An 18,167-nucleotide genomic window follows, 5' to 3' on the forward strand; every position below is an offset into this window, starting at 1 on the left:
CAGATGGGACGCGGCTTAGGAGGAATCCCGGGCTGCGGGCGTTCCTTGGCCCAGTGGCCAGATTTCCGGCATGTGTAGCAAGTTCCTGGGGGAGGAGGTTCTGGAGGAATGCCTGACTGCTACAGTTCAGGCGTTTGGAAGTTCTTGTGTGCTGGAGATGTGGCTGGGGTTTGTCTCACAGTGGAGGTAAGGAATTGCAACTTTTTTCTGTTATTGCACACCTTGAAGGTGAGGTTAATTAAGTCCTGTTGTGGGGTTTGAGGGCCAGATTCCAGTTTTTGGAGTTTTATTTAATGTCGGGAGCAGACTGGGTAATAAAATGTATATTGAGAATAAGACGGCCTTTTGACCTTTTAGGGGCTAGGACTGTAAAGTGTCTCAGGGTTGCTGTCAAACGAGCCAGCCAGGAGTCGAACCTGAGTGGATTGGGTGATAAAATGCATATTAAGAATAAGGTGGCCTTCTGGCCCCTCTGGGTCTAGGGCGGTATAGCGTCTAAAGGTTGCTGCTAAGCAGGCCATGAACTGGGCTGGATTTTCATCTTTACCTTGGGTGGTTTCTTTAAGTTTGTTGTAATTAACAGCTTTGTAAGCTGCTTTTTTAAGCCCTTCAACTAGGCAGGAAACCATGTAATCTTGCCTAGCTATACCTGGGGAATTTGCCTGGTAGTTCCATTGGGGATCCTTTTGGGGAACTGCTCTAATGCCTTCCTGGAGGTCTGGCTCATGAAGCCGGCAGTTATCAGCATGAGATTGGGCTAGAGAAAAAACTCTTTCCCGTTCATCTGGGGAGAGGGTAGAAGTCAGGATGACACTTAAGTCACTCCAGGTTAAGTTGTAGGACAGAGTTAGATATTGGAATTCCTGTATATATTTAGTGCGGTCTGATGAGAAAGAGCCTTAACGTTGACTGATCTGAGAGAGGTCTGATAGAGAAAAAGGTACATGTACCCTGACTATGCCTTCAGCTCCAGCCACCTCTCTAAGAGGAAATTGTTGGGCAGGTGGGGAGGAGCTAGTCGCGGAACTAAACTGTAAGCCGGACCGGGTGTGAGGAGGGGGGGTGGTAGAAGGATTATAAGGTGGAGGAGCGGAGGCTGAGGAAGAATTGGGACTTAGCTTGGCCTGGCGACGAGCAGCCTGGGGAGGAGGGGAGAGGTCAGATGGGTCTGTAGAAAAGGAAGACTGGAAAGACTCAGCGACGCTTGGGGTTGGGACTGAGGGGACAGGCGGGAGGGAAAGAAGGAGGATTTGGGAGGAATCGCATTGGGAACAGAGGCTAGGGAGGGAACAAAGTGTGAAAAATGCCTGGACGTAAGGCACCTCAGACCATTTGCCCATTTTTCGACAAAAATTATTTAGGTCTTGTAGGATGGAGAAATCGAAAGTGCCGTTTTCTGGCCATTTAGAGCCATTGTCGAGTTTGTACTGGGGCCAAGTGGTGTTGCAGAAGAAAATAAGGCATTTAGGTTTTAGGTCAGGTGTGAGTTGAAGAGGTTTTAAGTTCTTAAGGACACAGGCTAAAGGAGAAGAAGGAGGAATGGAGGGTGGAAGGTTGCCCATAGTGAAGGAGACAAACCCTGAGAAAAGAGAGCGTAGAGACATGGAGGAGGGGAGTGGGGTTCTTGCCCTCCAGAAAAGCAGAGAGGGGGTTGGGACACGGAAATAAGGGATTGGGGCACAGAGATAAGAGGTCAGGGTGCAGAAATAAGGGATTGGGGCACAGAGATAAGAGGTTGGGGTGTGGAAATAAGCAATTGGGGGGTTCTTGCCCCCTAGGAAAGCGGGACTTGCCGCTAAGGGTGAAGGAGAAGGGGTTGAGGGGTACTTGCCCCTGCCCCAGGAAAGCGGGACTTGCCGCTAAGGGTGAAGGACCAAGGCAGGTGTCCCTGCATGGTCTGACACCCTTGAAAGGTGAGTGTATAATCAGAGAGGCGTCCCTGCAATGATTAAACACCAAGGGAAGGCTGCATTCCCAGTCTGTGACCTGCGCTGGAGTTTTGAGTTCATGGATAAAACATGTCTCTTTTGTCTCTGCCAGAAAATGAAAGGAATTGAAATTAAGAGAAGGGAGAGATTGAAGTGTGGCGCCAAGATTGAAAGGAGAAAGAGGTTGAGGGATAGTGAGGGAGGTTGGAGAAGAGAGTAAAAAGAGGCCGCTTACCAGATTTGAAATTGGTGAGATGTTTCTTGGGCTGGTCGGTCTGAGGACCTGAGGTCGTAGGTGGATCTTTCTCATGGAGCAAAGAGCAGGAGGACAGGGGATTGATCTCCCAAGGGAGGTCCCCCGATCCAAGTCATGGCACCAAATTTCACTCGAGTCCATGTGAAGAGACCACCAAACAGGCTTTGTGTGAGCAACATGGCTGTTTATTTCACCTGGGTGCAGGCGGGCTGAGTCCGAAAAGAGAGTCAGCGAAGGGAGATAAGGGTGGGGCTGTTTCATAGGATTTGGGTAGGTAAACGAAAATTACAGTCAAAGGGGGTTTGTTCTCTGGTGGGTAGGAGTGGGGGTCGCAAGGTGCTCAGTGGGCAGGAGTGGGGGTCGCAAGGTGCTCAGTGGGGGTGCTTTTTGAGCCAGGATGAGCCAGGAAAAGGACTTTCACAAGGTAATATCATCAGTTAAGGCAAGGACCGGCCATTTACACTTCTTTTGTGGTGGAATGTCATCAGTTAAGGTGGGGTAGGGCATATTCACTTATTTTGTGATTCTTTAGTTACTTCAGGCCATCTTGGCGTATATGTGCAGGTCACAGGGGATGCGATGGCTTGGCTTGGGCTCAGAGGCCTGACAGCGGGCACCTGTAGTCTCAGCTACTGTAGTCTCAGCTACTCGGGAGGCAGAGGCAGGAGAATGGCATGAACCCAGGAGGCGGAGCTTGCAGGGAGCCCAGATTGCACCCCTGCACTCCAGCCTGGGAGACAGAGTGAGACTGTCTAAAAACCAAACAAAAAACAAGAAGGAATGTAAGTCAATTTTTACTTCTGAGTACCCTCAGGCAAAGCCCTCCCATAGCACCCAGGTCGTCCACTTGCTACTACTTATCACACTTGTAATTATGTTTTAAGTTCCTTCCCCACTAGAGTGTAAGTCCTAGGGGGGCAAGAAGCAGTAATGTGCTAGTAAATGTTTAACAACCAGCTGTCCAGGTTTGCTGTCTCTTCAGTTTGCTGTCTCCTGAAAGTACCAACATGCCGGCTACAGGCTGGTAAAATTCCTGCAAATAACAATAGATTCTTGCAAGCCAAGTAGGCATCCTGTGGCAGCAAAGGGCTGGCAGGGACCATGTTAGTTATCACTGTAAAATCTCCAGCACTGGCACTTGGTAGATGCTCAACATTTCTGTTGAATGAATGGCTATTCTTTTCAAGTTGAAGTTTCTAGAAATTCATGTTTCCTTTGTTGAGACGAAGCGGGGGCCCCTCTTAGGGGCCTGTGGGCCCTCCATCCCAATCATGGAAATAAAGGGAAATCTTGAATTCTTTCAAGGGAAATTCTGGACACCTAGCTAGGCCTGAGAAGTAGATGAGCAACTTCCTAAGCGAGAAGGTAATGAAGCTGCCTCATTGTCTGGGGTGACACCCAAGGTTTGTTGTCTCATGGCTACAGAGATCAAGGACACAGACACACAAAGAGTGAGGTTAAGAACAGAAGTTTAATGGGTGAAAGAAAGCGAATAGCTCTCTGCTGGAGACTGGGGGGTCCCAGAAAAATGGATTGCCAATCTGCAGTGAAAGGCAGAGGATTTTATAGATGAGCTGGCAGGAGGTGGTGTCTGATCTACATAGGGCATGAAAAACTGGTTAGGACCAGGTGTGCCATTTGCATAGGGCATGAATCTCTGGCAGCCCCCACCCCAGGCTTTTATTATGCAGGCAGGTTTTCAGCCTGAGCTGCGCCATGTTGCCCATTTCTTTCTTACTGTACACATGCTAACAAAAAAGGGAAGATGGAGCTCCCAGGGTAGACATGCCTGGCCCCTAGGTACCCCTTTTCTGTTGGCACAGCTGCTGGCATTCCCCCATGCAAGCTTCCAGCTTTTTTATCAATGTTTGCAGCTCAATCTTTCAGGCTCCTCTTTGTTAGAAAAGAAATGTTTTTGGGAGCTGCTCTTTGTTAGAAGGGAAGTTCTGCCGAGGACTCTTTTGCCCTATCTGACTAAATAATTTCTATCTCCTATATCAGTAATAGTATACTAAAACAACAGTTAAGGAAGTTAGAGTTACTGGATGTCTGATTCCCTATAGGAACTAAAGATAACATATTAATATATGTCCCTGAGTTGTTCTTCAGAAACCTGGACCCCCAGCAAATAGATCTGCCAGCACATAGACCTCAGATAAGGGGGAACTAAGGACTGAACTCCAACTGTCCTTCTTTGTTCTAAATTTCTTCCTGAGGGGCCTGGAGGAAGTCATGTCCACAAGCCAGAGCTCACATTCTTTTCTGATGCCTCCAATCTTTTAGACAAAGCTTCCTTTCCTTAACCAATTGCAAATTGAAAACCACCTATGACCTGTAAGCCCCCTGCTTCAAGATATCCTACTCTTTCAGGCCAAACCAATGTGTAACCTTAATGTATTGATTTACACTTTTGCCTCTCACTGATTTCCTGCTTTCCTGAAAATTTCCACTTCCTTTAAACATGCTTGTTTGCAAGCCATTGAGGAGATTGGGTCTGAAGTGTAAGCTGCCCTATTCTTGATTCTCCTTGCTTAGTGCTTTGCAAAGAAATGTCTCCTTTTCAAACTGCACCATCTCAATGTGGATGTTTGGCCTTATTACACCAGATAAGCAGAACTCAGTTCGGTTTCTCAACATTGTGATCTTGTAATTGGTCAGGAAATTGTACTCCGTATCTTCTCGATGCTAACAGTCTGGGGCTGGGGAAAGCTGCAAAGGAACGCAGGGAGTTACAAGTCCTCTCCAGGAGCTCATCGTCACAACCTCATTTACACAGTTGTTGCCCAAACACTCACCATTGTGTATGATCTTCTCAGGAAATATGGCTGAGAGGGGATGAGTAAAATACAGCTATGCTTTATGTCCTTCAGGAAAAAGCTAACATGCTGTATTTATTAGGGCTTAGTCATTGCAAATGATAATGTTTGATTTACTACTCTTAAATTTCATTGACTCAGCCAGCATAGTTCCAAAGAACTTAGCAAGGATCTTGGTTGGAGACTCTACCACCCTCTCTTCATATTTAGTATGTAGAGGATTAGAAAAAATGACATAAGACACCCAAGACAGCAGCCAGAGCACTGCCTACTATTGATTACTTACAATCATTATTATTGTCCTCATTACTGTCATCAGCATATGCGCCCATCTCCTCCATTGGATTATGAGGCTCTAGGGGAAAAAAAACTGTGACGATTTATCTGTGTGTTCTCTCATATGCTTTTTCCATGTGGTTCCCACAATAAGCCCCCATATTAAACATATTTTCTCATGAAATGTATCTCCTCATAGTAAATTGACTGTACTGTGTCATCAAGGCAAATGGCCTCACACTGTTTAGGAAATAGCCAACAACATCAACATTTAGGTATCTGATTGTTATAAGTGCATTTAACTGTGATTTATATGTCCTACAGCTTTATAGTTAAAATGGGAGGTCCTACAAACAGCCATACCCTGGGCTTTACTCTAAAAATTCTCAGCTACTTTTTCTCACTTCGCAAGTCATATTTCTCCTCCTTGTTCAGAATAGGGACTACAAAGCCAGACTGTCTCAGTGAAAGTCCTGGTTCTGCCTTGGTCAACTTATTTAACCTCTCTGTGTCTCTGTTTTCTTATTGGTAAAATGAGAGAAATAATTATATCTACTTCCTCGGGCTATTGTGAAGATTAAATGTTGTGATGTATACAAAGTGCTAACACAGGCTGGGCTCAGTGGCTCATGCCTGTAATCTCAGAAATTTGGGAGGCTGAGGCAGGAAGATTGCTTGAGCCCAGGGGTTCGAGACCAGCCTGGGAAATATAGTGAAATTCCATCTGTATTAAAAAAAAAATATATATATATATATAAGAATTAGTTGGGCTTGGTGGCATATGCCTGTAGTCCCAGCTACTTGGGGGACTGAGGTGGGAGGATTGCTCGAGCCCAGGAGGTAGAGGCTACAGTAAGTCTACATTGCACCACTGCACTCCAGCCTGGGTTACAAAGTGAGACCTTGTCTCAAAAAAACAAACAAAAACCACTCCCCTCCCATCTTAAAATTTTTTGAGATATGATTGATTTATTACCTGGACGTGTCTTAGCTTTTGTGTATATTTGTGATCTTCCATGTTAGGCTATATACATCCTATTTAACCAACGTTTGATGTCTGTTAAAGGCTTGTGGGTTTTAGCTGGAAAAAGTCACTGTCCTTCTGTAAAATGTTATTTGAAATATATCTGGACTTTGGTAGCACAGGTCATGCTTGAAAATGAAGATCTTTACGTCCTTTAGAATTAACTCTAAAAGGTGTTTTATAATGCTTGAAGTGCAAATGATCTATCAAGACAGATAAAAATACATCGCACAGATAGATGGCATCTTTTGAGAATGTGTTACTTACTATAGCTGTCACCCAGCCTCATTTGCTATGGTCGATGGGGACATTCTCTGAGTAGATACATAAATGAAACGGATCAAATGAGACATTTCACACTGAAAAAGTGTGTTGTAGTGAAATGAGAGTGGCCTGGAAGTCAGACTGGAATCCTCATCTTGACTGCTATTAAACGTTGTGTGATCTTGTGCAAGGCTTTTCACCTCTGTGGGGGGTTGTCTTCTTCATCCATAAAAGATGATGATTTGATGAGACAGTTTGTGAAGTCTTTCTAGTTTTATGATGCGATCCTATTCAACATCATCATCAGCCTCAGAAATACCTGGATTTAATGAAACCAGGAAGGCAGGACAAACTGATTTTTTTTGTGTGTGTGAGACAGATTTTTGTTCTGTTGCCCAGGCTGAAGCACAGTGATTCAATCATAGTGCACTGTAGCCTTGAGCTCCTGGTCTCATGAAAGCCTCCCACCTCAGCCTCCTGAGTAGCTGGGACTACAGGAGCATACCACCATGCCCAGCTAATTTAAAAAATTTTTTTGTAGAGATGAGTTCTCATTATTTTGCTCAGGCTGGTCTCAAACTCCTGGCCTCAAGTTATCCTCCCACCACCTCAGCTTCCCAAAGCATTGGAATTACAGGCATGCGCCACTGTGCCCAGCCTGATTTTTTATTAGTTGATAATGTGTTCGGGGTTTATTTTTCTCTTTCTGTCTCTAACTGACTTATCTAATGTAATAAAAAAAACCTTCTGTGGTGCCTTCTATTGGTCTCATGAATTCAAGATCAGATATATTAGAAGAGATATTTTTAAGTCAAATGAACATGTTTTTCATTACTTACTTCTAATGGATTATTTTAAAGCCCGTCTTCTGGCTCTGCACATTAATAGGTCACAACAACTGAGCGGACCTTGTTTAGTTTCCTGGTGCTGTAGGTTTCTGTTTTTGAGATAAGACGGAGCATTCTCATTCTGAGATGAACATTTCATTCATAACTTACTTATTTACATCTGTAAATGGTAATGGTACTGACATTTGATAAAGTTGCAAGGACTAAAACGCCCAGTTCTCAACAAATTCAATGTAAGTAGCAAAGTATTGGCTTTTATTGCTTAATGCTCTGCCCCCATTTAAGTAGATAACAGTAGTTTTTGTGAGATCCCTGGAGAAGAAGGGCACTGTATTAGTCTGCTCTCACATTGCCATAAAGAAATACCCAAGACTGGATGATTTATAAAGAAAAGCGGTTTAATTGGCTCACAGTTCTGCAGGTTATACAGGAAGCATTCCTGGGAAGGCCTCAGGGAACTTACAGTCATGGCTGAAGGCAAATTGGGAGCAGGTATATCTTGCATGGCAGAAGCAGGAGCAAGGGGTTGGGGGAAGACGGTACACACTTTTAAACAACCAGATCTCCCAAGAAGTCACTCACTAACACAAGAACAGCACCAAGGGGATGGTGGTAAACCATTCATGAGAAATCCACCGCCATGATCCGGTCACCGCCCACCAGGCCCCACCTCCAACATTAGGGATTACAATCGACATGGGATTTGGGCAGGGACACAGATGCAAACCAGATTAGGCAACTTCAACATTTCTCTGTTATCCTCTATGTATCCTCCACATATGTAGACACTGTGAAGGGATAGCTTCTTACTTCAGCTCTTTAAAAATGGTACATACTTTCCTTCTGGTTAGAAAACTATTTTAAATAATATTTGTTTCTGATTATAAAATAATACCTGGTTACTATAGAAACTTTAAAAAGTATTTGTAAGTAATAAGAAGTACCAAAATTACTTGGAACCCCACCAATTAGAGATGACTAGCATTAATATTGTGGTACATTTTGTCCCAGTTTACCGTGTTTTTCTATATTCATTTGTACATGCATGTGTGCACATGTGTGGTTTTTGTTTTGGTTTGTTTTGTTTTGTTTGAGACAAGATCTCACTCTGTCACCCAGGCTGGCCTGTAGTGGCCCAATCATGGCTCACTGCAGCCCCAACCTTAACCTCCTGCGCTCAAGTGATCCTCCCACCTCAGCCTCCCAAGTAGCTGGGACTAGAGGTGTGCACCCACCACATCAGGCTACTGTTTTGATTATTTGTAGAGACACGGTCTCACTATGTTGTCCAGGCTGTTCTCAAACTCCTGGGCTCAAGCAATCCTCCTGTCTAGGCCTCCCAAAGTATTGGGATTACAGGCAAGAGGCACTGCACCCAAATTCATGGGGTGTTTTTGGTTTGTTTGTTTTTTTTGTTTTGTTTTTTGTTTTTTGTTTTTTTTTGAGACGGAGTCTTGCTCTGTCACCCAGGCTGGAGTGCAGTGGCACGACCTTGGCTCACTGCAACCTCTGCCTCCTGGGTTCAAGCGATTCTCCTGCCTCAGCCTCCCAAGTAGCTGGGATTACAGTTTCATGCCACCGTGTCCAGCTAATTTTTGTATTTTTAGTAGAGACAGGGTTTCACCATGTTGGCCAGGCTGGTCTGGAACTCCTGACCTCAGGTGATCCTCTTGCCTTGGCCTTCCAAAGTTCTGGGATTACGGGCATGAACCACCATGCCCGGTCTCGTGTGTTTTTAAAACAAAATGAGGATCACGATAGACAGCTGGATATACTATTTTCTGACCTGACTTTTTATCTAAAAATAAACAGATTATATTTTCCAACAGCTGTAAGTATTAATAAAGGCACTTTTTGATGTCTTTATTAATGGCGTAGGGTCCAAACAGATATGATACCTTTTCTCACCACATCATAAGGGTCATGGCTGACACTTCTGTAACAAAAGACAGGTTAACAGGAGAAAAGCATAACAAGCTTATTTAATCAAAGTTTTACATGGCATGGGAGACTTCAGAAACGAAGACCCAAAGACCCAAAAGAAAACTGTCCATGTGTATGCTTAGATTCAATGAAGAGTGAACAGCTGTGTAGAAATTATGATTGGATGCAAAGAGAATGATCTAATAGTAATAGACTCAGTAGGAAAACCCAAGAAGTCCTGTCTGTTTACATTCTTCTTGGGCTCTCTGTGTAGTGTTCCTTCTTCTGGGGTATAGAGCAGGACCCCTCTGTAATGAGGGTCTTATGATCTACTTTCAGACAAGGTAGGTCAGAGAACTTCTTTATGGCCAGCTCATACATAGTAAGGCAGGGGAAAGTTAGAGAAATATTTCTAGGTTTTATGGCTCACTTTGGGGAAAAGGGGTTATGGTTTCCATGACTTGCCTTGAGGAAGAAGGATTCCAGTTTCTATGGCCTACCTTGGAGGAGGAAAAGAAGCAGGAGAAAGAAGGGAAAAGATCAGAAAGAGACTTTGCTTCTGAGTCTGTTCCATTGTCCTTCAGGTTAAAGTATGCAGCATGCCAAAGTGTCATATTTTGGGATACTGTCTTCTGAGCACTAACAGTGGCATAATATTCCATGATAAGAATTTATTATAATTCATTTAATTAGCCTTCCATTATTAAATACTTAGGTTATTTCTATTTTTGTGTTTATAAAGAAAACCATGGTGTGTATATCATTGTGCATAAATTATTGTACACATCTGTGATGATATCCTTAGAGTAATTTCATATCAATGGAGTTGCCAGGTCAAAGGATGATTTTCCTGCCCTCCAGCAGCTACTTGGGAGGGACCTGTTTTATTGCATGCTCACCAGTACTTCAAGTTATCATTTAAAAAATATCTGTCAATTTGATGAGAGGAAAACGATCATTTACTTTTATGTGATTTTACTAGCATAGTAATTTTTATCATGTGTGCATGGGCCTTTTTGTTCCTTTGATATGTGAATCATCTATGTGGGTCCATTTTGTGTTCACAGCAAAACTAATAAAGAACCTCAGAGTACCCATGGGTTGCCACATGTAGTAGTCATTGTGTAAGTGCTAAGTTCTGGCTCCATGAGAAAGTTCCAGTCTTGAGAAATTCCTACAGCAAACTCACATCACCAGCCTCGCAAAGGACAATATATGCAACCAGGCAGTGGATATGTTTCCTAGCTGCTGAGACACGTTGTTTGTTGTTCTTGATATCGAAAAATTTCAGTGTTGTATTTAAATGCAAAACTAGAAAGTCAACTTTAAAAAAATGTTGAGCTCTTTGACCCTGGTCATCTATTTTGGTAACACAATTTCTTTAAAAAACTTCTTGAATGTCAAAGCCTGCATAGTATTTAGGACCTTTTCCAGTGTGGCATGAAATTGTGGGAGACACTCTGACATTTCAATGATAGGTACTACATGACAGGCACTAAGTAAGAGACAGGCGTTCGAGGAAATCCAAGAAAATACCACAGGGATCAGGTGCCTCCAGACTTTGGTATTTCAGACAATATCAAACACAGGACTTTCAACTTCCCAATTTCACAGTAATAGGGTTGTTTGATTTTAAAAAACAATTCAGTTTGCCTTTTCAGCTCAAGCAGCTGGCTCAACCATTTACCTTAGTGAGCAAACTTTTGTTCGATTCATTCACAAAGTTATCCTACAGGGTCATCTCTCTTTCCTTTCAACTAGATAACACCTCTACTTTTTTTTTTAAATCAAATTCTTTTGAAATGCACCTGTGTTGCTTTTCAGATTCAAGTTTTTTTTTTTTTTTTTTTCAAATATGTATAGCACAGGCCTCAATTTAATGTTCTGAATCACTTAGGGACATTGCATTTTGAGGTAAGAGGACTTCTTATTTTACTTAATTATTAAACCAAAACACTCAAAGAGAAGATTACGCTGCTGGATAAAGTTCATGTTGCAGCTACATTATGTGGTCAACGAAGAAATGTTCCATAGTGCCCCATGGCTTTGCCTGGGTCTTGATCTGTTCCTTTTGGTTCTTGATGGATTCCCTACCGGGGGAAGAGGCAGTCCTTGAATGTGAGTAAATATAATATAGAGAAATGGTAGAAGGAGAAAGAGATTCAGGATAAAAAGCAACTGCAGTGAATAGCAGGAAGACAGGCATGGTGGTGTTCACTGGGAATGCCTGGGTCCACATTCTGCCCTCCTTGAAACATCAGTGGCATCCAGAGATGTGTGAGTCCAAGGGAATGGAACACACTTTCCATATGGCAGTGGATCCACTAATTGGAAAGATATCAGACTTCCAGCACTTGTCAACTGCTTGCATATTTCACCCTACATCTACAAACTAAAGACATGCTTCTTGGTACAGCAGCCCTAACTGACGTTCCTGAGGAAAAATATACATGGGTATCAATAAAAAATCGTTCAAAACACCTGTTAGGTTGTTTCCTATACTTTAATCTATTGCCAAAGCCAACATTTTGACTTATTAAGTTTCATTTTAAGTATATGACTAAATTCTGCAATGTTATGATCTTAATGAACTAATTTCTTAAAAGAGCATAACTGTTCAACAAAAAAAGGAAGCAGGCAAGAATGATTTTCTTGATTTATTTTTCATTTAAAACTGTCAAGCCATGGTCAGTATCACTTTTGTTCTTTATTTCTTTAATTTAAACCATGTCTAGATGTTTTCTTTCAGTTTTACCCTAGTTTATCTATCACAGATTTGCCATTGGCATTTTTTCCTTTGTTTGAATAACTTCCCTGTGTTAATCTGTCTAGACATAATCTACATTTATATGAAGTAAATTGACATTTCTCTTAAATCACCTTCTAGTTTCTTTCTACTATGCTTTCGAAGATATTTTCTTTCTTTCTTTTCTTTTTTATTTGTTTAGATGGAGTCTCACTTTGTCGCCCAGGCTGGAATGCCGTGGCACGATCTCGGCTCACTTGCAACTTCTGTCTCCCAGATTCAAGTGATTCTCCTGCCTCAGCCTTCCCAGTAGCTGGGATTACAGACGTGCACCACCACACTGGCTAATTTTTGTATTTTTAGTAGAGAGATGAGGTTTCACCATGTTGGCCAGGCTGGTCTCAAACTCTTGACCTCAGGTGATCCACCCACCTCGGCCTCTCAAAGTGCTGGGATTACAGGTGTGAGCCACCGCACCTGGCCTTCATTCTACTTTTATGCATTACTTAATTATTACTTATTTTGCCTATGCTATAATCAGAGGCTAGAACTGATCATAAAACATCATTATTCACTAGTCTTTGTCCTTAAGAGAGGGTACTACTTTATAAGTCTGGTCTGAGTCTCATTTAATCTTTCCTAACCTTCCTTTAAAGAGTAACTCATATTCGCATGTTTGGAAAATTAATTTTATAAGAAAATATCTTCTTACTCTAGTCTATATATTTTTGCCATGCTATATGTCATTATTTCCAAGTTCCATGATTCATCTTGTTACTATGATTAGAAGTCTCTGCCTTTTTTATTTTGGACACCTCCATTCTCTGCTTAGATCACAAATTCACCTTGCTCTCCCAGGGTGCTTCTTTCTTTCTCCTGTTACCAAGGTCAGCTCTCTGCTCCTTTCGCTGGGCAACATAGGAAAGATTGGACCAGAGATCAGGTAACTGGCCTGATGAAAGAGAAGCCAGAGTGGATCAGAGCTTATTTTGCTTTTGCGATTTTGTTTTACTTAGCTGTTCATATAAATGCTTTGACTCATGCTGAAATTGCTGTTCTTCAGTTTGCAATTTGAGTTTATGTGTGTGTATTCCTAATATTGTATTCTGAATAAAGCTGTTTCTGATGATGTGGGTCTTGATACTTGATATCAGCATAATAAAGCATAATTACATTCACCTGTAACAAAATATGGGTTTACAATAAACATCAATGCCGTAACAGGCCAGCAGCAGTGTGTGAATTGGATGTTTTCAGAATCAACTCTCAGTTATCAGTCATGTATTATATAAGGCATAAAAACAATAGGATTAATTAAACAAGCAGGCATTCTGCTTATGTGGCTAACAGTAAGCAGTAGTATGCCAGTTTATTGACATGACAGCCATCTGTTTATCCTTTAGTGCATTTCACCTTAAAGGAAGAGTTACACAAATTAAACAATTGCAATAAACTACCAATAAAAGTTACACTAGTCTATCCCCACATGACTTTCTGTGTGTAATTTTTTTGTGTGTGGTTTTTTGTTGTTGTTGTTGAGACAGAGCCTTGCTCTGTCACCCAGGCTGAAGTGCAGTGGCGTGATCTCGGCTCACTGCAAGTTCAGCCTCCCGGGTTCACGCCATTCTCCTGCCTCAGCCTCCCGAGTAGCTGGGACTCCAGGCACCTGCCACCACGCCCAGCAATTTTTGTACTTTTAGTAGAGATGGGGTTTCACCATGTTAGCCAGGATGGTCTTGATCTCCTGACCTTGTGATCTGCCTGCCTTGGCCTCCCAAAGTGCTGGGATTACAGGCGTGAGCCACCGTGCCCAGCCTCTGTGTGTAATTTTTAGAAGTCTATTTAAATTCCTCAAATTGGATTAATTTTTACAGACTGCTCCTGTTTTCTGGTCCAGCATCTGATCTTTATATCAACAACTTACTGTTTGATCTCAAGTTTCCTTCGTCCTGTTGATAACAAGCGTGATATCAATGTAACTCCAGAAACACCTGGATGTTTACCACCTGTTTGGTTCTTTTCCATTTGTTTTCAAATCAAGTCTTGGCACCAGATATTGTGAGGTTGTGTCTATCACAGAACAGATCCTGACAAACAGTCTGTGAAAAATAGACAGCAGCTGGCTGGCTGAGAAGGGAAAGCTGTCTCATTGCCAATTGCCACACCAGTCAGATAAGCAAGTATTCAGTAAGTGCTTGCTCAATACTTGCAATCTGAAACATTTAAAATGTGACACCTGTGCTTCCAATTTTCCTGGGATTTTGTGTGATTTTCGCGGCTGGTGGAGTTACTGGTCCTCCCAGCCTCTGGAGGTAGCCTAAGGTGACCGGTGACAGCACTAGGGTTGTGTTTCAATGTCCCAGTCCTCTCCACTCACTCTAAGTAAACCATTGTTATCCTAATAACCCCTACTCACCAATCTGAAGTCTTACAAACCCAAACTAAGTGAATTCATGTGTCATTTCTAGGAAAAGAAATGCCTCTTATTCATGTTCTTAAAGAAATGTCTGGTTCCTGGCTCACACCTGTAATCCCAGCACTTTGGGAGGCTGAGGCGGGCAGATCACCTGAGGTCAGGAGTTTGAGACCAGCCTGGCCAACATGGTGAAACCCTGTCTCTAATAAAAATATGAAAATTAGCAGGCGTGGTGGTGGGCACCTGTAATCCCAGCTACGTGGGATGCTGAGACAGGAGAATTGCTTGAAACTGGCAGGCAGAGATTGCAGTGAGCCAGTGAGCCGAGATCACACCATTGCTCTCCAGCCTGGGTGAACAGAGTGAAACTTGGTGAAAAGAAAGAAAGGAAAGAAGGAAGGGAGGGAGGGAAGGAAGGAAGGAAGAGAAAGAAAGGAAGGAAGAAAAAGAAAGAAGGGAGGAAGGAAGGAAAGAGAGAGAGAAAGAAGAAAGAAAGAAAGAAAAGAGAAAAAAGAAAAGGAAGGAAGAAGAAAGAAAGAAAGAAAAAGAAAAGAAAGAAAGAAACGTCCTTGCTGCTTGGTGAAGGAGTGGTCAGCAGTGACCCCTAAACCCTTTCACCACTTCTGCTGCCTGGCTTCTTCAGAGCAGGGCGAGTTCATGGGACCATCAGATATTTTCTAGGTAAAAGGAAGATCTTGACAGTGCAATTTCTGACTTATTCCTGGGTAAGAGAAAATGGCTTTGCAGCCTCGAATCACTTCACTAGGCTGTTGTCTACACACCTGTCTATCAAGTTGGCCTTTTAAACGTGACTTTACTTCTCTTTTTGGCTGTATTGATTTCTGAAGCCCTCCCAGAGAACACCTACAGGTCTCCCTAAGTCAAACTCAAATTATTCGATATTAAAGTGGGACTAAGCCATGCAGCACAGAGTCTCTGTTCTTTTTGAAACAGTAGCACTCTCTGGAAGAAAAGGCTGGTGGCTATTAAATAGCAAATTATAGGAGCAGGAGGAGCCTCCTTTCATATATGGATTGTGTTGAGTCTATGTCTGCACTGCTGCCTGCACCAGGCCACCACATTGCTCAAGCACCAGGAGTTCTACAGCAAATAGCTTGCATTTTTGTTGGTACTTTAAGGAAGATAGACCATCTCCTGATGCCTCCCACCTATACCATTAAAAATAAAGACAATTTATTGAGGGGAGGGCAGCTTTTTGAAAACACCTTCAGGCTGCATGAATAAGTTATAGCTAATAAAATTGCATATTCTCAGACTCCACCCCAGAGACTGATTCATTCATGTAGAGTGGGGTGCAGGAATCTGCATTTAGGAGGTACCAGGTGGTGCTTATGATGGCAGAATTAGAGCCTCGCTTTGAGAAACACAAATAAAGCTTAAAGTTCTATGTGCAGCATGCTAAAAACATACTTTACATTTTAAGGAGAAATAGCTACTTAAATAATGCCCAGGTAGAGACTTCATGGGTTTAAGGTAACAGACATAGGGAGAAATATATTCACCTGCCTCAATTTCATTGCTTCACAAAAAGATTTTTATTTCTAATCAAATACCACCTTATCCCTAGGAGATTTGAGGCAATGGGCTTGGCCCTCTCGCCAATGAATGAATATTTGGGAAACCATAAATAGTTTGCTGTGAGTAAGGCAGAGAGTTGGGGGAGGGTCAGAATATGCTGGGGTGAACCCAGGGAACAGCTCTGGAAGAGCAATTTTTGCCTTCCAGAGGAACTTACATTTTTATTTAAAAAGAAAAGAAACTATCAAATCTGTGTTTTAGCAAGATCTCTTTGATCAAAGTGTGGAAGATGGATTCAATAATTTCCCCATTTTATAGATGAAGACCTGAGACTCGAAGGTTAAGGAATTTGCCCAGGTTCACAAAGTACATGAATTAGTAAGATTCAAACTTGGGAAGTTTGCCTCTAGAGTCAGCCTTCATCAGCAGGCTCTAGTCCTATAGAATTAAAACACTTTTCCTGGCCAATTGTCTTTGATTCATTGTATACTTTAAATACAGTAGGTATGCATTTAATTCCCTTTTTTTCTTTCTTTTTTTTTTTTTTTTTTTTTTGAGATGGAATCCCACTCTTGTCCCCCAGGCTGGAGTTCAATGGTGTGATCTCGGCTTACTGCAACCTCTGCCTCTCGGGTTCAAGCAATTCTCCTGTCCAGCCTCCCAAGTAGCTGGGATTACAGGAGCCCATCACCATGCCCAGCTGATTTTTGTGTTTTTAGAAGAGACAGGGTTTCACCACGTTGACCAAGCTGGTCTTGAATTCCTGACCTCAAGTGATCTGCCCGCATCAGCCTCCCAAAGTGCTAGGATTACAGGCATGAGCCACCACGCCCGGCCTAATAATTTTTTTTCCCAAAGGGAAAAGATTCACAAAAAATATTTCATGCGAAATCCCCCTCACTCAGCTGGCATTTCCTTCTCCTCCTGAGAAGCTGAAATTAGCTCCTGAGTGTTTTCCATACAAGCGCTGCACCAGGTATGTGTGGGGCATTCCAACAGACTTTGGGGGTGCAGCTGGGCAGCTGAGATCTTCATGAGGTGCCGGTTCCATGGGAAGATTGTCTGTTAACAAGGAATGATGGCAGTATTGATAAATGATGCTATGAAAAGGCATAAGAGGAGACTGACTCTGACTGGGTGGGACACCTGTCCTGAGGCAATGAATGGTAAGGGGGAAAGAGGCACAGAGGCTGGGGGAGAACATTCTAGACAGAATAGGAACAGAAAGATAGAAAGATAGAACATACTGATTTGTCTGATTAAAACCAAGTGTTAGAGTAATTCTTGGAACCCATTCTCTGTTTCTCAGTATCTGATTTCCAAATAATTCTACCATTAGAGATAAATAAGTACCTGAGGTCTTATTTGAATGTCTTTGGCCTCAATTGAAATTCATTTTCTTTTGTCTGGCCTTGAAAATGATGAAGTTTCCATGTGCAATGAGCTACGTGCTTCTGTGGTTTTGAAAGGGTCCCAGTGTAGCTATGCAGCAGTGCTGCATAGATCCTGGAGGTTTCTATAAGGTTTTATCCAAGGCAATTCTGCTTATATGAATCTACACACTTGAAGAAAAAAGGGAAAATTGAGCTAATTTTACATCTATTTAAGACACCCTTTTATTTTTTCTTCTTCAATGATTTTTAAAATATCAAGTAATATAAATATTTATGAATTCACTGTTAGGCATCAGAAGCCTGAAAGTTAGATGCCTGAAAAAAATTAAACCGAAAAAACCATGATTTCTAACTATGTTTTACAAGCAATATAATGAAGGTGGATCGTTTAAGTTTTCCTCAAATTCAAAACTGCTTTCCTTGGATCCTTTTTGAGAAGTAATTTTGCCCTAGGAATAAATCTCGTGTCATTGCCCATACAGAACATCTAAGTTTTTACCCTTTTACAAGAACTCTCTGTGATGCATGTACAATAGATATCGTTTCTCCCAACTTAGAGATGATAAAACGGAGAAAGTGTATTGAACTGACTTGCCTACATTTTTATGTTTAGTTCAATGAAGGGCCAGCCTGGGGTGGGGGTGGGTGGCCTGATTTCCTGAGATGCCAAGACTCTCTTCCACAGTGTAGTCACATCTAATGGCAAATAAACATACATAGATTGAAAGAAGACGTTC

At 42.3% G+C, this 18,167-nt stretch overlaps 1 annotated feature.

Moving 5' to 3' along the window:
* Positions 2,319-2,863: an enhancer, noted in NCBI's record as "OCT4-NANOG hESC enhancer chr10:26063372-26063916 (GRCh37/hg19 assembly coordinates)". NCBI's record gives its function as "activates a minimal SCP1, AML or CMV promoter by ChIP-STARR-seq in primed H9 embryonic stem cells {active_cell/tissue: H9 hESC(primed)}" and the evidence as "EXISTENCE:reporter gene assay evidence [ECO:0000049][PMID:30033119]".

The sequence above is a fragment of the Homo sapiens genome, chromosome 10 (assembly GCF_000001405.40).
Source record: "Homo sapiens chromosome 10, GRCh38.p14 Primary Assembly".
Lineage (NCBI taxonomy): Eukaryota > Metazoa > Chordata > Mammalia > Primates > Hominidae > Homo > Homo sapiens.